The sequence below is a fragment of the Homo sapiens genome, chromosome 1, assembly GCF_000001405.40.
Source record: "Homo sapiens chromosome 1, GRCh38.p14 Primary Assembly".
Lineage (NCBI taxonomy): Eukaryota > Metazoa > Chordata > Mammalia > Primates > Hominidae > Homo > Homo sapiens.
Genome location: NC_000001.11, coordinates 160659957 through 160683114, shown reverse-complemented (window position 1 = coordinate 160683114; position 23158 = coordinate 160659957). Strand labels below are relative to the sequence as shown.

Here is a 23158-nt window from a genome sequence, read left to right as displayed (position 1 = left end):
GGAAGTCCAGGAAACTTTTATCACCTCTGTAGTCTGAGCAATCTTTTAGCGATCTGAGATCAGCTTCACAGAGGAGACAAAACTAGAGTTCTAGAGACCAGATTGGTAGAGCTTCTAGAGCCTCTCCACACATACAACCAAGAGGCAAGCTCTGATCTGGTCAATTCTCTGCCAATTTTTAATCTTATGGGATTTGAGTTGCATTGATTCTGCAGATGTTTCACCCTGACCAGAATGAAAAGATCTCAGAGGATTGCAGGTAAACCGGCCTTAGCCAAGGAAGGACCAGATGCTGGGACTATCTCTCATTCTCTCCGGCAGCAGTACAACAGTAATAATGGTAAAATGGCCTCTAGAATGTATGCAATACTTACACTCTTCAAAAAGCAATTATCCATGACAGGTGACGTTTTATCTTACTAACATTGCGCGATGAGGTAGAGTCAGTTTACAGATGACAGCAAGGGGGTTAACTACCTTGCCTAATGTCACTCCACTAGAGTCAAGTCCAGGACCCAGGCTGGTCTCACTCCAAAACTAGTGTTTTTGTGTCTACTTGCCTCCCTCCCTCCCTCCCTCCCTTCTTTTTCTTTTTCCTCTCTTCTCTTCCCTTCTCTCTCTCTTTCTTCCTTTCTTTCTTCTTTTTTTTTTTTTTTTGAAGGTCTTCTCCTTACCCAAGCTGGAGTGCAGTGGTATAATCATAGTTTATTGCACCCTGGAACTCCTGGGCTCCAGCAATCCTCCTACCTCAGCCTCCTGAGTAGCAGGGACTAAAAGTGCACACCACCACACCTGGCTACTTTTCTTTTCTTTTCTTTCTTTTTTTTTTTTAGAAACTGAGTCTCTCAATGTTGCCCAGGCTGGTCTCTTAACTCCTGGCTGCAAGCAATCCTCCTGCCTCAGCCTCCCAAATTGCTGAGATTACAGGTGTGAGCCGCTGCACCCGGCTGTGTTTTATCCTTTCTATCTCATAACTACTTCATTCATCCTTTCATGAGATACTTATAGAATACCTGCCATGTGGCAGGGATTGTGCTAGACATGGAGATACCAAAGTTAGCAGACCAATCTGTTTATCACAATTGATGCGGCTGGAAGTTACATGAAGTTCTTCTCTGTAGCTCTGCCAGAGTCTAGAAGGCTGGCACCTGCACTGGATGGTTGTGCAAAGGACTTTGCCACGCGCAGACAGGTACCTCTTACCTTAGGACTCTTGCTGAAGCTGAATCCGATAATTGGAAAGACAGACCAGCCAAGGTGCCCGCCATGAACCGTTGCTAGAGAAGGGTCCCTGAGCATCTCAGGCAGTTGATATACTAAGTCTGACCCCAGCAAGTCTCTGGGCTGTTCGTTCAGGCTCACACACGATCATAACCCCATTTTGTTCCCAGAGCATATGATGGACTGTGGCGCCCCCTCCAGGACGCAGCTTAGCTTCACTGCCTAGAAGCCGCTCTTGCAGTGAGTCTGTGAGGCCTCAGGAGGTCAAGGCTGCTCACTGGCTCCCTCTGTAGAACTTCTTCTTCATGACTCTGCCTCCTGGGGCATTCAGGCCCCTTCCCTGGATCCCTTTGTTCTTTGTTGGCTAAACCTTCACAGCATGAATGCCTCACTGTCTCATCTTATAACATCCTCCTCACTTTCAGACCCTGTACCCAAGCCTGTCATCAAAATTGAGAAGATAGAAGACATGGATGACAACTGTTATCTGAAACTGTCATGTGTGATACCTGGCGAGTCTGTAAACTACACCTGGTATGGGGACAAAAGGCCCTTCCCAAAGGAGCTCCAGAACAGTGTGCTTGAAACCACCCTTATGCCACATAATTACTCCAGGTGTTATACTTGCCAAGTCAGCAATTCTGTGAGCAGCAAGAATGGCACGGTCTGCCTCAGTCCACCCTGTACCCTGGGTAAGAAGGATCCCTGGGAGCTGAGGGGGGCACAGGGTAACTGGAGTTGTTTTGAACAAAGAAAGGCTGGGGGTCCTATTCAGCCTCCTTGCACAGTGTGGTGGTGAATCCCTAAGGTGTCTGGGAGAGCTGGGAGACGTGGGTTCTGCCACCAGCTCTACCACCACCTCCCAGCCAGCTTACCTCAACTTCGTGGGGGCTCAGTGTTCTCACCTGCAAAGGACGTTTGGGAGAGATCTCTGATACTCCTCTTCCCTCTCCCGCTCTAACAAAGCATAGTCCTAACATCTGAGGCCAGGGTCATCATAGAGTAGACTGAAACATCAGGGTGAGCAGGGAGAAGGAAGGGCAAGTGGGCGAGCAGCTGTCTAGAGGGGCTTCATTAGACAGCCGAAGTCAGCCAAGGAAAGAGGGACCGAGGTCATTAGACCGCCAAAGTCAGCCAGGGAAAGAGGGACTGAGGAGACGGGCCTGAGAGAGGCCGTCGAGGAGGCGTGAGAGCCTGAGCCTCAGGCGAAGCTTCTCCTCCCCAGCCTGATGTTCCTAGATGAACTTAGGAAGCCAGATTCCCCTGTCTCCTGGGAGGATCCACTCATGAGTGTCACACCTGGCTCTAGATCAGGCCTACACTGGTGCTAGCATGGGACAGCTAAGGCCATGGGTTTTAGAGTCAGTCATACCTGGGGTCACTTCTAGGACTGTCACTTACTAGCTAAACAAGTTACTTAGCTTCCCCAAGTCATGTTCTTCCTAAATAAAGGACAAAATAACAGTTCCTATCTCGTGCTAAGGATTCAATGAGACAAGACACGTAACTGCCTATCACAGTGGCTGACAAGTCCTTAGTAAGCGGGAGCTAAATGAGACGCAGTCTCTTAGAGTTTTGGGGACCCTTAATAAACTTGGATCAATATCTCCAGCACTCTGGGAAATACCAGAGTCAGATACCCTCCACAATCCTGAAGTCAGATCCCTGAGCCCTAGCGTACACATTCTTCTAGAATAACTCAGACCTGAGGTGCTCACATTCACCTGTGACCCCTGTCATGCCCAGTCATCAGGGATTCTGGCCTCTGAGAACGTTGCTGTTTTGTGGTCTTCCTGGGCTCTGTCTACCCTCCTTAACTGCACTGATTTCTTTATCTCTACTCCCACATGTGGACTACGGAGACTGTGTATGCTCTTCCTTATTCTTCCTAACTAATTGGCCCTGTCTCTACCAGCCTCTCCTGATATGCCTTGCTCTTCTGCCACCACAGACCCACTGTGACAGTGTGGTATCTGACCATGAGAACACAATTTGGCTGGTGGTTCCAACACCACCCTCATATCAATATCACATCCTGAGATCCAGAAAAAGGAAGACGCACATTCCCTGTCCTCTATAAAATGGGTGTGACTGTTCATCCGAAGAGAGGATAAAAGCAATAATAAATCCATTTTTTTTGGAAGGGTAAACCCATCTGTCACTTTTTAGTCACCGAAATTATCCTAGAAAGCCCCCTCAAACTCCTTTCCCTACTGTATCACTCATTCCTTTTTTTTATTTTCTCCAGCTCAGCCCTTCCCCACCCCAGCATCTAAGCTTTCCTTCCATCCTTTTTCTTTTCCTTTCCTTTTCTGTCTTCCTTTCTCTTCCCTTCTTCTTCCTAGTTGGTGCAGATACTTAGTGGGGTAGAGAAACAAGGAAAGGAAGTGGTCCTTTTCTCTCTAAAGTCAGCTGTGCATTGTATCATGTGGTCATCTGTCTGTACCTGAAGATCTACCCTACCTCGTTGATGTCCAGAGTAGGGGAGCAATGCTTTCCCAGGCCACAGATATGTCGAGGTAACCTTTGAGCACAGGGCCCAGGTAAGCCAGTGATATTTAAGGAATTTCTGCATTTTTTATACTTTATGTTTGGGGAGATTGAGGAAAAGAATGTCCCAGCCAAATAGGATGGGATTCAGGGAAGAAATTAATTTCCCTGCTCTGTGAGCTCCCACACCAGTGTCCAGTACACTTGCCCCTTCTCAATACATTAGTCAAGATAAAGATACCTAAGCATATAGGGTTTTCTTGCTCTTTCAGCCCGGTCCTTTGGAGTAGAATGGATTGCAAGTTGGCTAGTGGTCACGGTGCCCACCATTCTTGGCCTGTTACTTACCTGAGATGAGCTCTTTTAACTCAAGCGAAACTTCAAGGCCAGAAGATCTTGCCTGTTGGTGATCATGCTCCTCACCAGGACAGAGACTGTATAGGCTGACCAGAAGCATGCTGCTGAATTATCAACGAGGATTTTCAAGTTAACTTTTAAATACTGGTTATTATTTAATTTTATATCCCTTTGTTGTTTTCTAGTACACAGAGATATAGAGATACACATGCTTTTTTCCCACCCAAAATTGTGACAACATTATGTGAATGTTTTATTATTTTTTAAAATAAACATTTGATATAATTGTCAATTAACTGAATTCCTGAAGTTGTCCCAAATCTGTCAGACAGTGCCTGCTCCATCAGCTGGGAGAAACTGGAATCTGGAGACACAGAGGGGAGAGCCTGGAGCCACCGGCTCCTGTGTGTCAACACAGCTGAGGAGCCAATTTGTGCTACTTCTGACCCTTATTCCAACATCCATGCTAAGCTTCCTGGGGCTCCAGCTCCCCTGCCAAGCCTTTGCCTCCTTCCCAGTGGCTTGCCTTGCTCTGACCCCTCTGAGGACCACTCTCCTTAAGTCTGCTGCAAACATAGGTTCAGGCTTGCTCTCGCAGAAGGAAGGATGCAGCTCTATCTCATAAGAAGCCTTCCTGCCCCACAAGCCTCGCATAGGGAGCTGAATTCTCTCTCCTCTTTTCCATTGACTGTGTGGGCAAGTCTTCAACTCCTAGTCGTTTCACTGGATCCAAAAAAACCATCAGATCGACACAGTGTTCTCACCAGAGTTGTCCACTATATGCAGGTAGGCGCCCCCAGGCCCACCACTGACATAACACCTGGGATTTTTGCTTAATGTCCCCTCCTCTAAGTCTCCTCATGTGCCTGGAGCTGAAAGGGTCACTACAGAATGCACTTCCCCTTCAGAAAACTGCCCACCACAGACTGCTTGCCTTTCAAACCAGACCAGCCTCCCCCATCTCCCTCGTGGCCCTTCCCTCCTCACCCCATCTCCTCGGTGACAGATACAGTGCTATGTGTTTGCCAAACCTTCTCATTTTCCCCTGGGTGAGTGAAAAAACTCTTTTTCCCAGCTACTTTTGTGTTTAGCTGGAGCCATGTGATGAAATCTGTCCAATAGAAAGTGGGCGGCATGGATGTGGCAGGAGTGAAGGACTTCGGAAGTCTGGCTATATGATGCAAGGAACTGCATCGGAGCCATTGTTTGGAAGGCAGCTGCCTGCCCTACATTGCACAAGCATGATAAGAAAGGTAGGGTTTTGTCTTTTCCACAAGACAGCCTGGGCTTCCGAAGAAACCCCCCACCCTGAGCCCAGCCTGTAGTCCCATCCAAAATCACCTCTGAGCAGCCTGCATCCCCATCCAAACTCACTTCTGAGCAGTCTGCATCCCATCCGAACTCACCCCTGAGCAGCCTGCATCCCTATCCAAACTCACCTCTGAGCAGCCTGCATCCCCATCTGAACTCACCTCTGAGCAGCCTGCATCCCCATCTGAACTCACCCCTAAGCAGCCTGCATCCCCATCCGAACTCACCTCTGAGCAGCCTGCATCCCCATCTGAACTCACCCCTAAGCAGCCTGCATCCCCATCCAAACTCACCCCCGAGCAGCCTGCATCCCATCCAAACTCACCTCTGAGCAGCCTGCATCCCCATCTGAACTCATCTCTGAGCAGCCTGCAGTTCCATCCAAACTCACCTCTGAGTATCCTGCATCCTACAGGTGGACCATTTCCATCCCCTTTCTGTAAGCAGCACCCTTTTCCTTCCCCTCACTTTTCTCAGTGGAAGAAGAGGGTTTTGGGGGGAATTTCACGCGCACACACACACACACACACACACACACATATACACACACGCGCGAGCGCGAATGGGATAAACAAGCAGTAAGAAGGAAACAAATGCCACTTTCTGTCACAAATAAGCACATTCCTCAGCTGCTGAGGAACCAGCGTGCCTCTGCGGACATTGTATTTGTATTATTTCCAGTTACTGGAAACCTGAGGTAAATCTCACCTTAGACGGCTCAGGTCACAGACACCAACGGTTCCCTGCTCCTCCCATCCCTCAAGGCAGTGCCAGATACATAATTTGTGGGGCTCAGTGCAAAATGAAAATGTTGGCTCCCCTTGCTCAAAAAGCAAGGAAAATGTGCCAATAAAAGTACTGAAATATTAAGCCTTTTCTTTTCTTCCACAGTCTCTCTACTTGAGATGGTATTTTTTTATTTGCTTGCTATTTAATGCTGTTCTAAGTAAAGGCAAATTAAAAACTTAAATTATCATGAATTTTACTTTCTATATTTTAAAACATTAGTTTTAAATGAAAATAGAATATTTAATTCATATTTGGGATCATTGCAATTACTCAATTTCTATTTCGTGGCTCATGCATGCATATATATTTTGTTCTTATTGGAAGTGTGAAAACGCTGCGAAAACCCAACTTAACTTTTTTATTTTACTTCTTGTTGCATACACATTCTCCCAACACTCTGTGAAAGCCAGTGGCTCCCATAACGTGACCACTTTGCACTTACTTTGAGTTTCACTGAACTCCCACATATTTTGGGTAGGTCCGCTGGAGTGCTGTGCTCATGGGATATGAAAAAGGGTAACAAGGAATGGTGGCAGACATGCAGATTACATGTATCTTCCCTTCTCACCTGCATGCTTAAGCAGAAGCTGAAAGAGAAAATTATCAAGAATTTCCAGATAGTGTCAGCAGCAGCAGAGCACTAACCCAGGTTCAAGGCCCTTCTGACCTGGGGCCCCGTGTCACTGTACAGGTCACAAGCCCGTGAAGCCAAATTTACCTCAAGGACAACTAATATCTTACACCAAGACAACGGCCTTCTCTGGAAGTCACAAGGCCTGGTTCTTATGTTCCCCAGCCCCTCATATCTGTCTATGCATCAAAAGTTAGTAGAAGCTGGGCGCAATGGCATACACTGTAGTCCCAGCTACTCCCAGGGCTGAGGTAGGAAGATCACTTGAGGCCAGGAGGTGGAGGTTGCAGTGTGCTGTGATCATACCTGGGAAAAGCCACTGCCAGTCCTGCCTGGGAAACAAAGCAAGACCCTGTATCCTCAAAAAAAAAATAAATAAATAAAGGTTAGTGTGTTCCCTTATCAGTATACACAAGCCCATTTGTCTTTGTGCAAAGAGGATACTCCAGAATTAGCCTCAATTTCCAGTCATGAGTATACTCTTGTGAACTGAGGTGTCAGGATAAGTTGCTTCCCCTTGGCCTTCAGGCGGCTCAGGCAAGCTCCTGCACTGCCCTCTGCTGGCTCCAGCGCAGCAAGTTTAAGTAAAACTTAAAGCCTTGGATTAGGTCAGTGCTTCTCAAACTCTAACTTGCCAGCAAATCACCTGGGGATCTTGTGAAAATGCAGACTTTGAATCAGTAGGTCTGGGGTGGGAACCAGCTTGTCTCAACAGCCAGCATGAGGTTACACATGGAAGGTTGGCAAGGCCAGGAGCTCCTGTGGACTAAGAGAAAGTAACCCTCATATCTGGCTTTGCACAAATAAGCAGCTTGGATTGGGCCCTTGTGTTGGGACCAGGTAGGGGTACATATAAATAGACCTGGCCCCTCAGATCAGTGAGTTCATTCATTTACCACCTATATTTACCAAGTGCTTACCTATGCTAGGGGTCCCATGCTGGAAGCCACTTAGTAAGAACAAACACTGACTACCACGTATGCCCTAGGCTCTGTGCTGAGCTCATTACCTGAAAGGCTTTCTTTTTTTTTGAGGAGTGTTGCTCTGTCACCCAGGCTGGAGTGCAGTGGCGCGATCTCGGCTCACTGCAAGCTCCGCCTCCCAGGTTCATGCCATTCTCCTGCCTCACCCTCCCGAGTAACTGGGACTACAGGCGCCTGCCACCACGCCCAGCTAAATTTTTTGGCATTTTTTTAGTAGAGACAGGGTTTCACCGTGTTAGCCAGGATGGTCTCGATCTCCTGACCTCATGATCCGCCCATCTCGGCCTCCCAAAGTGCTGGGATTACAAGCGTGAGCCACTGTGCCCGGCCATGGCTTTCTTTAAGGAACAGGGCTGTGGGTTGTTTAGAGTGGAAGTGTTTCCAAAAGTCTTCATTGAGGATTTGGACTTTAAATGGTTTTTGGCCATTTAAAGGATTTGGCCAGGATAATTTTACACAACTGTTGGTATGATCAAAGCAGCCTTAGAAAGGTTCCATCTCTCATTGTCCCTTCTTGTCCAGGAATAAAAAGATCAAGCTCCTCCACAGTGTTCTTGGGCTATCTTCAAGTGCGTTTGTTAAAGTGGCAGCTCCTGCACCTGGAGAGTGTGCTCTCTCTTCCCCACAATTCTTTCTACTCCTCCTCCCCCATCTCTAACCTCCTTAGAAGACTGCATGGTGGGGCAGAGGATGGATTTAGCTCAGAGCCACCTGCACCAGCTGGCAAATGCTAACCACAGGCTCTATTCTCTTTCGCCAGCTGCTCTGCCCAGCCCTTTGCCCCAGTTGGGTGAGTGAGAGCCCACTCCTTTTGCCTGGTCCCCTCCCCCAACTCCAGCCTGCCTGTCTTTCCTCCTCTCTCCTCCACCATCTTCTCCTCCTACAAATTTTTGTCACCATCATGTTCTATTCCCATCATCTTTCCATCTCTCATTTTTCTGTTCCTCTGTCTCATCCCATCCTGCTGATTATTTTTTTTCATAACTCCCACTTTTCACCCAGACCTCACCATGCCAATTCTGCCTCTGATGTTCCAGCTGCCCATGAGGGTCTGCACATCCCCTGACAGGCAGTGCCTTGGTTTGTTTCCTTCCTCCTTTACTGACATAGGAAACACAGTCCCCTCAACAAGTGTCTCCTATCCCTGTGACTAACTTGGTCAGAGACTCCTAAGGAGCCGACAACGCAGCAAACACATTGGTTGGTTCCCTCAACAGATATTTGCAATAGGATTTCCAAAGGCACTTTTCCTAATGCCTCATATTTAGAGCTAGGACAAAAAGACTTCACATTCTAGAAAGCTGCAAATAAATTGGGGCAGCACCACCTCTAGGGCTTAGGAAGGGGTGACTGAACTGGTTCTACTACCCCAGTGTTATTCACCCCCACTCTATATAAACAGAGGACTAGGGAGAGAAGAGAGAAAGAGGATCATCAGGATCAAAAGTGTTGGAGTTTGGGGAGTCCTGCAGCTTTCCCCTTCCCTTCCTATGGGTAAGGTTCTCCACCCATAGTGCCACATGAAAGAGACCTCCAAGAGTGCCACATGAGAGGTTCAAGGTATGCAAAAGAAAGGGAGACTAAAGTCTGAATTCTCGGTTGGGTAGTGGATCTGTTGATTTTCTTCATGGTAGAAACATGACATTGCAGCAAGATCGGGAGCAGCCTGCATACTCACTGTTTGGCATGGCAAAGATGTAGTAGTTTCCACAGTGGATGCTGCAGGCATAGTCAGGCTTCACTTGTCTTGCCACCCTGGCCACCAGGTAAGCAGATCTCCAGCAGCAAGAGGTTTTATTGATACATCATTGGTGGGAGCTGAGTGGGAGGAGGGCCGGAAGAGGCCAAGCCAGAGATCTCCCACATCAGCACACTACTCAGTGGAGAGTTCCCCACCCCCACCCTGAAAGCCGTTACACCTGTGCTCTACAAAAAACAGAGACAACCACCAGCAGCCAGGTAACTAAGACATAATTTGGTCCTCTCCTCCTGGCCCTATATGATTTGAGAATCTGGAACTAGATGAGGTAAAATAGAAGGGGAAAGATCAGACCACACCCTCTTCCCTATTACAGATTTTTAGATCATGAGACAAGCTTGGGCTGAAGTGACAGGAACAAGTAAAAGGGGAGTTTTACATCTGAGCCGTACTGTTAAGTTACTGGAAGTGATAGAAACGAAAGTGAATGATTTTCCCAAAACCTCCTTAAGTGATAGGAGGCAGATTTGACACAGTCCTCATGTGAATGGGGGAAAATAGTTCTTTGATGTTAGCTCCCAACATACCAAGTTCAGACTGTTCAAAAAACAGTTAGATGTATTCATTGAGCAGCTGCTATGAGTCAAACACCTTTCCAAATTTAACACTGAGAATGGCAGGGATAGTTCTTGTCTTCCTACATGTTTCGTTCTGGTCTGGAAGATAGTCATAAGGGAAATTAGTAATTTAATCCCAATGATGTCAATGGCTGCATGTGTCAAATATGACAATTGCTAGATGGAAGAACTATTTCAGACTGAGATAAGTCAGGAAGATTGAATCTTCTTTTGAGGGTCAGATTCCTTTTGGAATCGAGACTGAAAAAGGAGAGGTGTTAGATAGGTCAGAGGGGTATGTGTGGAAAAGCCTTCAAGGAGGAGGAAGTAGGAGAATGCAAGGATAGCCGAGAAGAACAAAACAATCTGGCTGCTGGAAAGATTTGCATAAAAAGGTATCTAAATAAAGCTGTTGCCTAATTTCTAGACGGCAAATAGCTATCTTGACTAGTGGCTCTGGAAAAGTAAACCAGTTCTCAAAGTATGAAATATTATTTGTCATAATAATTCTGGGGTTATGATTTCACAAAATCAGAGTCATATTAATGAGAGAAATCTCTTTTCCTAATGTAACTGAGGCCTGCTTATTTATTTAGACACCTAGTGAGAAAATCTCACCGGTAGGGAGATTCAGCTAGAATGCAGTGGACCCATCTTCTGCCTAATCCTTTACACCTGTGTTTACCTTTCCCCAGTTTAAAATCAGCTTTGAGTGAGCAAAGGAGAATTTCACTTAGCATCTGGCCAAAGATGAGGCATTTGCATTTGTAAAAGATGAGAAAGGATGAAAAGGACAGAAACCGTGCCTCCTATATCAGCTGGTTGTATGCAAGATACCCAGATAAATACAGGTGGGGAAGAATTTTATGGGAAAGGTTTTGTAGTAACTTGAAGAATCAAGAGAAAAGCTAAATATTAACATCTAGATAGCAAGATTTAATGTGCAAAACTTTAGAATTCTTCAAGCTGAATCAGCCCCAATTGTTTTCCAGGCTTGTGATACTATGCTTCATTATGCAAATTTTTATAACCTTTGTTCTTCCTCAAGTTCCCTGTTCTCATGAGATCTACTGAACAATTCAGTAAAGAACCTTATATATATATTCATGGTAAAGTGGGGTGTATTTTTTCCTAAGGAAAAACTAGTAAGGCAAGAGACACTGAAAAAGGTCAGTGATCCCTCCCCAGTCAAGGGCTTTGGAGGGGTAAGACTGGAGAATAGTCAGCTCTATTCTTTTGCAAATTTCCAGGTAAAGTCAAAGATAGTTACTGGTAGCACTGGCCAGGTCCTCAGGCCAGATATACCGTACACAACATAGCTGCTTCATTATTATTATTATTGTGTGTATACATTTAGTTTTATTGTAACAAAGAAATCTGTACACTTTTAATGTTTAAAACTGAGCATCATCTTTCCTTTCCAGTGAAACAAAAAGAAAATTTAAAAATAAACATGCCAAAGGAGAAGCCATGTTGTTAAAATGCCCACTTAACCCACCCAAACATCTCATACTCACCCTTTGATGACTTTCTATAACCTCATTTTTTACAGGTTTTTTTTTCTTTTTTTAAACAAGAGAAAGTAGACAGATACATGTTGATAAATGATGGTCCATATTCACACAGAGACACACGGTACTCTCTGAACCCAATATACAGAGAAAGGAGAAAAGAAGCTAGAATTCTATGCACTGCTACACAGGGGTCTGGCACTCTCCAGCTTCCAGCAGAGCAAAGGGAGAAGGTTTTTCTTTTCTCCCACAGAACTTGGTGGTGTTGATTCCATACAGTTTTTGTTCAGACAGGAAGAGATAAGAATGAATTCTGAAGAGAAAGGGGTAGAGAATATTTTCCCATTGTATTATGCTCAAGGCATTTCCCCCCAAATAAGTTGAAAACCATGGTGTAGAGAAAAGAGACCTCAAGAACAGCGCGACTGAGCACAAGAGGGGAAAAAAGAAAAAAGACTGCAACTTGCTCCCAGGGACTGGAGAAAATTAAAAAAAAAATTGTTCAGAACATCAGTGTTCTGTTAGTCATCTTCTCCTTCATCCTCCTCTCCTTCCTCAACGTCATCATCATCTTCCTCTTCTTCGCCTTCATCCTCATCCCCTTCTTCATCAATATCTTATAATCCTTCCTCTTCTTCATCATCATCATCATCTTGTTCTTCTCCTTCTTCTTCATCATCCACATTGGGAACCAAGCAGCACTGTTATGGGTTTGGCCAAGTACTACCTGTGATGACCTCTCATAACTCACCAGCACCTGCATCAGAATGGTCAGTAAAGCAGGTCAAGAAGCTCTCTGGTGCCTCAGGCTGCCTCTTCCTACTGGCTTTATTCTTCGTTCGACTTGAACGATTCGTTACATCCTTTCAAGATTTCCATTTGATTTCAGTGGACTTTGAAGATGGATCGCCACTCTCATTTAGATGAAATTCTTTGGAGAGGAGTTTATTTTCAAAGTAAGGATGTTCATCAAAATAAAAATCTATTCTGTAACCTAATTTAGTATCTTCAAATTATGTCACTTCAACTCTGGTCATATAATGCAGTGCCTCTTCATCCTCCTCCACAAGCAGTGCAGACACTCGTGGGTGGTTGACAAATGATGTTACCCAAAAATGTGGGATTTGGGCCATCAATGATCAATTCTGACCTCTTCTGAAAAAATGATTGGCAGAGTTTGTTCTATTTCTGTTCTACTTTCAAATTCTCCTCACTGGCTTGTTCATGAAGTCTGTTTCATTTTGTACTTCACAAATGTGTTCAATTGCTGCTTGCTATTCTTTTTCTGAGGTCTCGTCTGCCCGGTTGCGGTTGGAGTTGAGCTCCTTTCTACTGACTTTAGCCGTTGGCACAGACTTGGTGCTGCTTGGAGTTCGGGGGGCGGGGGGCGGGGTGTGGTGGTTGGGGGGAGAAACGGGAACGGGGAGAGAAGGAATGGGGAAGCGGGTCGGGGGTAGGCGGCTTCCCCTAACTCCACACTCGCTGGCACTCACTCGGTCAGGCCGCCTCCGCTCCCCGTTCGCTCGCTCTCCCAGCGCTTGCTCGCGCATGCTGCCCTGGCATATGATACATAAAATGTATATAAAAGACAATATAAGTGTAGTTTTTGTTTGTAATTTTTTTCTCTTATCTGATTTAAAAGACAATTTTATAGAACAATAATTATAAATCTGTGTTAATGACACACATGTATAAAGATGTAATTTGTATGACAATAACAGCAAAAAATGTGGGCAGGAGAAAAAGCTGTGTGAGAACAAAGTATTATATTATTGCAATTAAGATCATTGTAACCTCCAAACCAACTATGAAGAAAATAAATACAGTAAAAAAAAAAAAATGACAAGGGAACTTAAGTGTACAGTAGAAAAAATATATTTAATACAAAAGAGGGCACTAATAAAGAAAGAGAAGAACACACACACACAAAAAACCTATAGAAAACTAATAGGAAAATGGCAAACATAAATCCTACCATATCAGAAATTACATTAAATATAAATGGATTAAACATTACAAATAAAAGGCAGAGGTTATTAGAGTGGACTAAAAAAAATGGGTCCACTATATGTTGTGTACAAAGGACACAGTTTAGATTCAAATACACCTATAGGTTGAAAGTAAAAGGTGGAAAAAGGTATATTATGTTATGGAAGCAATAACCAAAAGAGAGCTGGGTTTAGAAACTGAGATCAGTCAAAATATGATTTAAGACAAAAATTGTTGTAAAGACAAAGAAGGACATTTTATAATAATAAGAGTTAATGCATCAAGAAGATATAACAATTATTAATATATATGCACAGAGCCCCAAAATACATGAAGCAAAAACTTACTGAATTGAAGGGATAAATAGACAATTCAACAATAATAACTGGAGAATTCAATATCCCATTTTCAATAATGGATTGAACAACTATACATAAAATCAACAAGGAAATAGAAGACTTAAACAACATTATAAACCAACTAAACTTAACCAAAGTCTATAGGACACTTTACCCAACAACAGCAGAATATGTGTTTGTTGTTCTCAAATGCACATGGAACATTCTCCAAGATAGACTATATGTTGGGCTATAAAACAAGTCTCAACAAATATGAAATGACTAAAATTACAGAAATGTCAAAAGTATGTTTTTAACCACAATGGAGTGAAATTATAGATCAATCACAGAAGGATATTTGGAAAATTCATCAAGCTACATACTTCTAAATCAAGCTACATACTTCTAAAACAATGGGTCAAAGAATAAATCATAGGGGAAATTACAAAATACTTTGAGATGAATAAAACTAAAAATATTACATATCAAAAACTTATGAGATGCAGGAAATCAATGCTTAGAGAAACTTTTATAGCTGTAAATGCCTAAATTAAAACAGAAAGATCTCAAATCAATAATCTAACCTCCTACCTTAAGAAACTATAGGCTGGGATTAGTGGGTCATTCTTGTAACCCTAACACTTTGAGAAGCTGAGGCAGGAGGATCACTTGACCTCAAGAGTTCAAGACCAGCAACGTAGTGAGACCTTGTTTCTACCAAAAAATTTAAAAAATTAGCCAGGTGTGGTGGCTCATGCCTGTAGTCCCAGCTACTTTGGTGGCTGAGGTAGGAGGATTGCTTGAACCTAGGAGATCAAGGCTGCAGTGAGCTGTGATTGTGCCACTGTACTCCAGCCTGAGTGACACAGTGAGACCCTGTCTTGAAAGAAAGAAAGAAAGAAAGAAAGAAAATAAACTATAAAAAGAAGAACTAAGTTCATTAAGAAACTATAAAAAGAAGAATAAACTAAGCTCAAAGCAAGCAAGAGGGAGAAAATAATAAAGATAAAAATGGAAAGAAATGAAGGAGAGAATACAAAAATAAGAGAAAAACAAATTTAAAGTTTGGTTATTTGAAAAGATCAGCAAAACTGACAAATGTTTAGGTAGACTGATAAAATGAAAAACGGAGAAGACTCAAAGGACCAAAATCAAGAATTAAAAGGGGATATTACTATTGACTTTAAAGGAATAAAAATGATTACAAGGGGGATAGTATGAACAATTGTATGGAAATAAATTAGACGAAATGGAAAAATTTCAAGAATCACACAGACTACCAAAACTGACTAGAGAAGACAGATGCGATAGATCAGATAGATAAAGGGAGGGTTCTTGCTTGCAATAGAATGCCAAATATGGAGTGAGGTGCTAAAGTGAAGAAAGTTATTATTTTGTAACTATCACAATTAAGACAGGCTCAGGCAAAAATTATCAATGGATGCTAAATCTCAGAGGAAATTTTGATGAGGAGTAAGATGTCTGCATGGCCTTCCACTGTATGCCAACACATAGTTATTAGTTAAAATCAAAAAAGATAACTATACAATAGAGAAATCTGGCAATCTGTTGGCAATATATTGGCCAGGTGATTAAAATTAACATTATCGATGAGAAGACATCAAGGGTCTCTAGATGTGATACCTTGAGGGTACAATGTCACTTGTGTAGTACCTAGTCTGGGAATGCATAATGTGAATCTAATCATAAGGAAATACCAAAAAACCCCAAGTGAGGAATTTGCTATTAAAAAAGAGAGGCTGTAATCCCAGGACTTTGGGAGGCTGAGGCAGGCGGATCATGAGGTCAGGAGTTTGAGACCAGCCTGACCAACATGGTGAAACCCCATCTCTACTAAAAATACAAATACAAAAAAATTAGCTGGGTGTGGTGGTGCATGCCAGCTACTCAGGAGGCTGAGGCAGAAGAATCGTTTGAACCCGGGAGGTGGAGATTGCAGTGAGCCGAGATTGTACCACTGCACTCCAGCCTGGGTGACAGAGCAAGACTCCACCTCAAGAAAAAAAAAAAAAAAGGGAAAGGGTGGGAAGACTGCATTCTTCAAATATATCCATGTCATAAAGGAGAAGATATAGCTGTGGAAATGTTACAGTTGAAGGGTACTAAAGAGATACAACAACTAAATGCAATACCTAATACTGGACTGGATCCTGACCTGGAGGGAAAATTATGGTTACAAAGGGTCAACCGACAAAATTGAAATGCAAACAGTAGGTTAGACAAGAATATTGTTATCAATGTAAAATTTACTTAAGTGATAACTATATTGTAGTTGTGTCAGAAATTATCCTAATTCTTTACACTGATGTATTTAAGATAAAGAGCCATGCCATATGCAACCTACCCTATAATAGTTCAAATAGAGACAGAAAGAGAGAGAGAGAGAGAACTAGCTAATATTAAAGCAAAATGGGCAAAACATTACAGAGAGGTATTCACAGTCACAGCCAACTTGTAGACCCCTCCCTGCAGGATATTTATAAGCGTGTTCTTTGTACTATTATTAATAATAATTTTTTCTTGCAGCTCTTTTGACATTATTTTCAAATAAAAAGTTAACTACACAGATTAATGAAAGGTCTGCAATACTTATTTCCCCTTGATGGTCCTTCAAGATGCTGAGGGTCTGTTCTGCATTTACCACATCCTCTTCTTTCCTTGTATAGGCCTCTCCTTTTATAGACCTGTGAGTTCTCAGAGTACATTATCATTTTCAACCTTGAATTCCCATTGAAACCCTTGAATTCCCATTGAATCATCTGCCAAAGACGACAGTTTATTTTTCTGTTGATCCAATCAAGAAAAGGAGAAAGCTTCCATGAATAATAAACAGATGGGGACTACAAGTTCCTGTGACTCTGCCGGGCTCTGCCCAATGTGTCTCTCCATTCTGGCTCCCAGGCTACAGGAGCACAGCCTCTGTCAGTCTTGCTATCTCTGGCAGAGGACAGCAACACAGAGCAGAAGGACCTCTTTAAAGCCTAGGTTTAATAATGACAACATTTTCATGCTTAAATCCTTCAAGGATAGGCTCGTTGGAGAGCCTACAGGGTTCTACTGATCCTTATGTGGCTTGGTTTCTGTGATTTTCTCCTGTCCAATTTCTAGTTTGGCCCCTCCTTTGCACTGAATGCTGCAACCTTCCTGAACTGCTAGCAGTTCCCCGAATTTACTCAATGCCTTTGCTCAAGCTTTTACACTTCCTGGAATCCCCTCCCACTCCTCGTTGACCTAACAAACTCCCACTCATTTGTTAAGACTCAAACCAATTGTTGCCTCTCCAAAGTCCAAGAACCACTTCTTAGGAATAGGACTCTCTCCCTGGTCCATAATCACCGTTTCCCACCCTCTTTGTGATAGGAATGATTACTACAAAGAAGACTTAGAAATCGTCAGCAGGGAAGCCCATAAAATTTGCATTTCCTAATTTTCTGTAATCTTGGTGGAGGACAGGAAGGAAGTGGCCAGGCCAAGGCCGTCTGGCAAGTTACCAGCAGGGCTGAGGCTGGAAGTCAAATACACATTCTCCTTTCTTTGTTGATACTACTGGGTACTCCCTGGGGCTTGACCCATTGCCCTTCTTATGTTCGAAAATGTCTTCTGGACTCTGTCAAACCCTAGACAACTCAATTTTGCAGGACCTTCTAGGGGGGCAATGTTGGAGGGCTTGTTGGCTCCTAGAGAGAGCACTGGAATGAGCATGTTTGGTTGGTCTTCAAGCTTATACCTAGTACCCAGAACCACATTTCAAGCTTCTGGGAGGTTGTGTGGTATAGGGGAAGGAGCATGACCTTTGGAGCCAGACAGCCTTGAGTTTGAGTTCCAGAACCGTCATTTACCAGCTTCTGAACCTCAGGAAAAGTAAACTTTCTAAACCTCGGTTTCCGTATGTGGATGATTTTTAAAATCAGGATTAAATGAGATAACCTCAATAAATCATTCCACATAAAGTCTGCCATACAGTAAGTGCTCAATAAGTATTAGTTGCCTTCCTCTGTCCCAAACTTCTCCTTCCTCTCTTCTGGGCTGGCAACTCTAATTTTAATGAATTAAGACAAGATCTCTTAGCTTAAGTTTCCCCAAGTGTAAAATAAGAGGGAAATGGTTGTATAACTCATATGACCCAGATCACGGCTTCTTTCTATTTTGCTTTTATCAATCTTCTCAATCAGGTCTGTGTACTGAGCACAAAGGCTGCCCATGGGTGTGACATGAACAACGGAGGTTTTGCTCTCAGAGGAAGTGGAGAGGGGTTGGGAGGTACCTGGGGAAATGCAAATTTCATGGCTAAGTAGGACTTCCCTAGGTCTGCTGACTTCCAAGATGCTTCTGAGGCATAATTCCAGTGATGATGTGAAGGTGTGGGGCCAGTTCTACCCCCACCAAAAAAGGCCACAATCAGTATATTCATTCCACAAACATTTTTAGCACTTGCTGTATGCCAGGCATTGTTAGATTGGGGAACCATGAAGGTAAATAGAGCATAATGAAACTCAATCAGGATATGGGTGGATTGACCTAAACCCAAGAGATTTGGTTTCTGGTTACGGCTTTTCAAAAACTAGCCATATGGTAAGTCCCTTAGAAGTTTTAGTCTCTAAGTATTAGCTTTCTTGGGGTGAAATGAAGGAGTTGAAAATATGACTTCTATATTTGTTTGCTTTCCTTCAGATTATACTTCTCCTCTCAAAGTCAGCTCTGTGTTTTCAAATAGCCCCTGGAAATCTCCATATGCATGAACCGTAAACATTTAAACTGACCATATCCCAAGCCAACAAATAATCTTATACCCCTTGCTCTCAATTTTGCCCCTAAGTTATCTCCACCTCTTATACTTCCTTTCTTAGAGAATGGCATTGCCATCTACTGGGAAACTGAACTGGAAGTGTAAAGGCCATAGTATATAGGCCACTCTCCTTCACAGCCCACATTCAATAAGTCACCAAACCCTGAAAAATCCACCTATGAGATAACTCTCCAATGGATCTCCTTCTCTCCCACCTCATTGCTACTTCTCCAGTTAAGACCCATCATTTCTTCAAATCTGTTCCTAGCCTGTAGGTCTACCTAAATTTCTCTCACACTAAGGCCAAAGTAATCTTTTCTTTTCTTTCTTTTTTTTTTTTTTTTTTTTTTTTTGACAGATTTTCACTCTTGTTGCCCCAGGCTGGAGTGCAATGGTGCAATCTTGGCTTACTGCAACCTCCGCCTCCCAGGTTCAAGTGATTCTCCCATCTCAGGCTCCCAAGTAGTGGGATTACAAGCACATGCTACCAGGCCTGGCTAATTTTTGTATTTTTAGTAGAGATGGGGCTTCATCATATTGGTCAGGCTGGTCTCAAACTCCTGACCTCAGGTGATCTGCCCACCTCAGCCTCCCAAAGTGCTGGGATTACAGGTGTGTAATCCCACCACGCCCAGGCAAGGTAATCTTTCTAAAGCAAAAATATGAACAGGTCACTCAGCTGCTTAAGACTTTTGGTGGCTTCCATCAAAGAATGAATGGCTTTCCAAGAATGTGTTTAATTATTTGTGCGCAAAAAGGAGTTTTGATCAGGTGAAAGGGGAGACACTGCCTCCTGTGGAAAGTCCTGGGTTGTGTATCCTTGCAGGAATGAAAGAAAAACAGATCAAAACAATGAGGAAGAGAAGAGAATAGCAAATATTGAGTGTTCACAATATAGCAAATACTGTACTTTATATACACTGCTGTTTTAACATTCAAAAGGCATATTAGGTATCTTTGCTCAGGTTTTCAAAAATCAGACTCTGAGATGGAGATTTGTGTGTGAAAAGTTTATGGAGGAGTGCCCATGAAATAATCAATACCTGTGAGGGAGTGAGGGAAGTAAGAGTGAGCAGAGGAAGAAGTTGAGCTGCGGATGCAGTTGCAACAAAGTCCTCAGCTGACTCAGTGAGGAGCCCTGGAGCTAGAATGACCCTCAGAGCTGTTGCAAACTGAGGCAAAAGGGGACTGGACTTTTATATCCTTTCATCAACCAGTTGGCCCAGTTGTTTGATGTGGGTTCCTCAGGGAAGGAACTGGCTAAGGGCAGTTCCTGGGGAGGAACTCAGCTGAGAGCTGTCAGCCACCAATACTTCCTGCATGGGGAATGACTGCTTTGGTCTTGAGGGGGAGATCGGAACAGCACATCATAGCATCCACTATGTGAGATAACTTGTAGTGCATTATTTTATAGATAAGAAAACTGATTTTCGCCAACACCATGACTTATCCAAGGTCGTACAAGTAATGAGTGAAATCCTTGTGGTTCTAATTCATATTTGTCTTCATGTTCCTTTAGCTACATATAACCATGCAATGATAACCTTTTTTGATGAAGCTAGCAGAAGAAAAGAAATAACTAAAATCAGAGCAAAAATAAATGAACCTGAGACAAAAAAAAAAAAAAACCTCACACAAAGGATCAAAAAAATAAAGTTGGTTGTTTGAAAGGATGAATAAGATTGATAGACTGCTAACTAGAATAACCAAGAAAAAAAAAAAGAAAAGATCCCAAATAAGCACAATCAGAAATGACAAAGGTGACATTACAATTAATATTGCAGAAATACGAAAGATCCTCAGAGACCACTATGAACAGCTCTATGCACACAAACTAGAAAATCTAAAGGAAATGGATAAATTCCTGGAAACCCATAAACTTCTAAGATTGATCCAGGAAGAAACTGAAATTATTAACAGACCAATAATGAGTTGCAAAACTCAATCAGTAATAAAAAAAAACTACCAACCAAAAAATGCCCAGAACTAGACGGACTCACAGTGGAAATCTACCAGATGTACAAAGAACAGCTGGTACCAATCTTACTAAAACTATTCCAAGAAATTGAGGAGGAGGGATTCTTCCTCAATTCATTCTATAAAGCCAGTATCATCCTCATATCAAAGTCTGGCAAGGGCACGACAGATAAAGAAAACTACAAGTTAATACTCCTGATGAACATAGATGCAAAAACCTTCAACAAAATACTAGCAAACTGAATTCAGCAGCACATCAAAAAGACAATTCATCAGGATTAAGTTGGCTTTACTTCTGGGATGCAGACATAATTCAGCATACACAAATCAATAAATGTGATTCACCACATAAACAGAATTAAAAACAAAAACCATATGATCATCTCAATAAATGCAGAAAAAGCATTCAATAAAATTCAACATCTCTTCATGAGAAAAACCCTCAACAAACTAGGCACTAAAGGAACATACCTCAAAATAATAACAATCCATGACAAAAACCACAGCTAATATCCTATAGAATGGGCAAAATTTGTAAGCATTCCCCTTAAGAATTGGAACAAGACAAGGATGTCCACTTTCACCACTTGTATTTAACTTAGTACTGGAAACCCTAGTCAGAACAATCAGGCAAGAAAAAGAAATAAAAGGCATTCAAATAGGAAAAAATAAAGTCAAATTATCTCTGTTCACTGACAACATGATCCTGCACCTAGAAGGCCCTAAAGATTATTCTAAAAGGCTCCTAGACCTGATAAAGAACCTCAGTAAAGGTTCAGGATACAAAATCAACATACAAAAACCAGTAGCATTTCTATACACCAATCACATTCAAGCTGAGAACCAAATCAATAACTCAATCCCATTTACAATAGCCACAAAATATAAAATACCTAAGAATACATTTGACTAACGAGGTGAAAGATCTCTATGAGGAGAGCTACAATACATGGATGACAGAAATCACAGATGAGACAGCAAATGGAAAAACAGTCCATGCTCATGGATTGGAAGAATCAATATCATTTAAATGTCCATGCTTCCCAAAACAATCTACGAATTAACAGAATTCTTATTAATTTACCATCATTTTTCACAGAATTAGAAAAAAAACAATTCTAAAATTCACATGGAACCAAAAAGAGCCTGGCTAGCCAAAGCAATCCTAAGCAAAAGAACAAAGCCAGAGGTACCACATTACCCAACTTCATACTATACTACAAGGTCATGGTAACCCAAACAGCATGGTACTGGTACAAAAATGAACACATAGATCAATAGAACAGAACATGAAACCCAGAAATTAAGCCATAAACCTACAACCAACTGATCTTTGACAAAGTCGACAAAAGTGAACAATGGGGCGAGGACACGCTATTCAATAAATGGTGCTGGGAAAACAGTCTAGTCATGTGCAGAAGAAAGAAAGTGAACCCCTACCCCTCCCCATATACAAAAATTAACTCAAGATGAATTAAAGACTTAAATGTTAGACTTCAAACTATAATAATCCTAGAAGAAAAGCTAGGAAAAACTCTTCTAGACATTAATCTAGGCAAAGAATTTATGACTAATATCTCAAACACAAATACAGCAAAAACAAAAATTGACAAATGGGAGTTAATTAAACTAAAGAGCTCCTGCACAGCGAAAGAAAAAAAAAATCAACAGAGTAAATACAACCTACAGAAAGGGGGAAAATATTTGCAAACTATGCATCCACCAAAGGACTAATATCCAGAATCTGTAAGGAACTTAAGCAAATCAACAAGAAAGAAACAAATAACCCCATGGTGTTAGTCCATTTTGCATTGCTATGAAAGAATGCCTGAGACTGGGTAATTTATAAAGAAAAGAGGTTTTTTTTGGCTGATAGTTCTGCAGGCCGTACAAACATGGCACCAGCATCTGGTGAGGCCTCAGGAAGCTTACAATCATAGTGGAAGGTGATGGGAAGCAGGCATGTCACATGGCAAGAGAGAGAGTGAGAGAGATGCCAAGCTCTTTTATACAACCAGCTCTTCCATGAACTCATTATTGTAGGACAGACACCAAGCCATTCATGAGTGATCTGCCTCTACGACCCAAACACCTCCCACTAGGCTCCACCTCCAACACTGGGAATTACATTTCAACATTTGGAGGTGAAAAACATCCATTTATATCAACCATTAAGAAGTGGGCAAAAGACATGAAGAGACACTTCTCAAAAGAAGATAGCAAGTGGCCAAGAAACATATGAAAAAGGCTCAGTATCACTAATAATCAGAGAAATGCAAATTAAAACCACAACGAAATACCATCTCACACATGCTAGAATGGCTATTCTTAAAAAGTGAAAAAATAACAAATGTTGGCAAGGATGTGGAGAAAAAGGGACACTATACACTGTTGGTGGGAATGTAAATAAGTTCAACCCCTATGGAAAACAGTATGGA

The 23158-nt window shown here is 42.4% G+C and overlaps 1 protein-coding gene and 1 pseudogene across 5 annotated transcripts in view, besides 6 other annotated features; one reads left to right on the top strand and one right to left on the bottom strand.

The window, feature by feature from the left end:
• The window catches only part of CD48 (CD48 molecule), a 33077-nt gene extending 28708 nt beyond the window's left edge, over nt 1-4369 (top strand). For 3 of the 5 annotated variants that reach the window (XM_017002867.3, NM_001778.4, XM_047435011.1), the window contains 2 exons: nt 1647-1913; nt 3984-4369. In XM_017002867.3, the coding sequence (XP_016858356.1) occupies nt 1647-1913; nt 3984-4063 (347 nt within the window). In that variant the 3' untranslated portion in view covers nt 4064-4369. Of the gene's footprint in view, nt 1-1646; nt 2689-3983 lie in introns of those variants that run through there. The other 2 variants (XM_005245625.1, NM_001256030.2) reach the window with 2 other exon arrangements.
• Nucleotides 1592-1681: an enhancer, noted in NCBI's record as "active region_1944". NCBI's record gives its function as "activates an Ori minimal core promoter by ATAC-STARR-seq in GM12878 lymphoblastoid cells {active_cell/tissue: GM12878}" and the evidence as "EXISTENCE:reporter gene assay evidence [ECO:0000049][PMID:35858748]".
• Nucleotides 8277-8893: an enhancer, noted in NCBI's record as "H3K27ac-H3K4me1 hESC enhancer chr1:160644012-160644628 (GRCh37/hg19 assembly coordinates)". NCBI's record gives its function as "activates a minimal SCP1, AML or CMV promoter by ChIP-STARR-seq in primed H9 embryonic stem cells {active_cell/tissue: H9 hESC(primed)}" and the evidence as "EXISTENCE:reporter gene assay evidence [ECO:0000049][PMID:30033119]".
• Nucleotides 8317-8426: a silencer, noted in NCBI's record as "silent region_1462". NCBI's record gives its function as "represses an Ori minimal core promoter by ATAC-STARR-seq in GM12878 lymphoblastoid cells {active_cell/tissue: GM12878}" and the evidence as "EXISTENCE:reporter gene assay evidence [ECO:0000049][PMID:35858748]".
• Nucleotides 10083-10142: an enhancer, noted in NCBI's record as "active region_1943". NCBI's record gives its function as "activates an Ori minimal core promoter by ATAC-STARR-seq in GM12878 lymphoblastoid cells {active_cell/tissue: GM12878}" and the evidence as "EXISTENCE:reporter gene assay evidence [ECO:0000049][PMID:35858748]".
• SETP9 (SET pseudogene 9) lies at nt 11934-13157 on the bottom strand (annotated as a pseudogene).
• Nucleotides 17060-17621: an enhancer, noted in NCBI's record as "NANOG-H3K27ac hESC enhancer chr1:160635284-160635845 (GRCh37/hg19 assembly coordinates)". NCBI's record gives its function as "activates a minimal SCP1, AML or CMV promoter by ChIP-STARR-seq in naive H9 embryonic stem cells {active_cell/tissue: H9 hESC(naive)}" and the evidence as "EXISTENCE:reporter gene assay evidence [ECO:0000049][PMID:30033119]".
• Nucleotides 17635-17694: an enhancer, noted in NCBI's record as "active region_1942". NCBI's record gives its function as "activates an Ori minimal core promoter by ATAC-STARR-seq in GM12878 lymphoblastoid cells {active_cell/tissue: GM12878}" and the evidence as "EXISTENCE:reporter gene assay evidence [ECO:0000049][PMID:35858748]".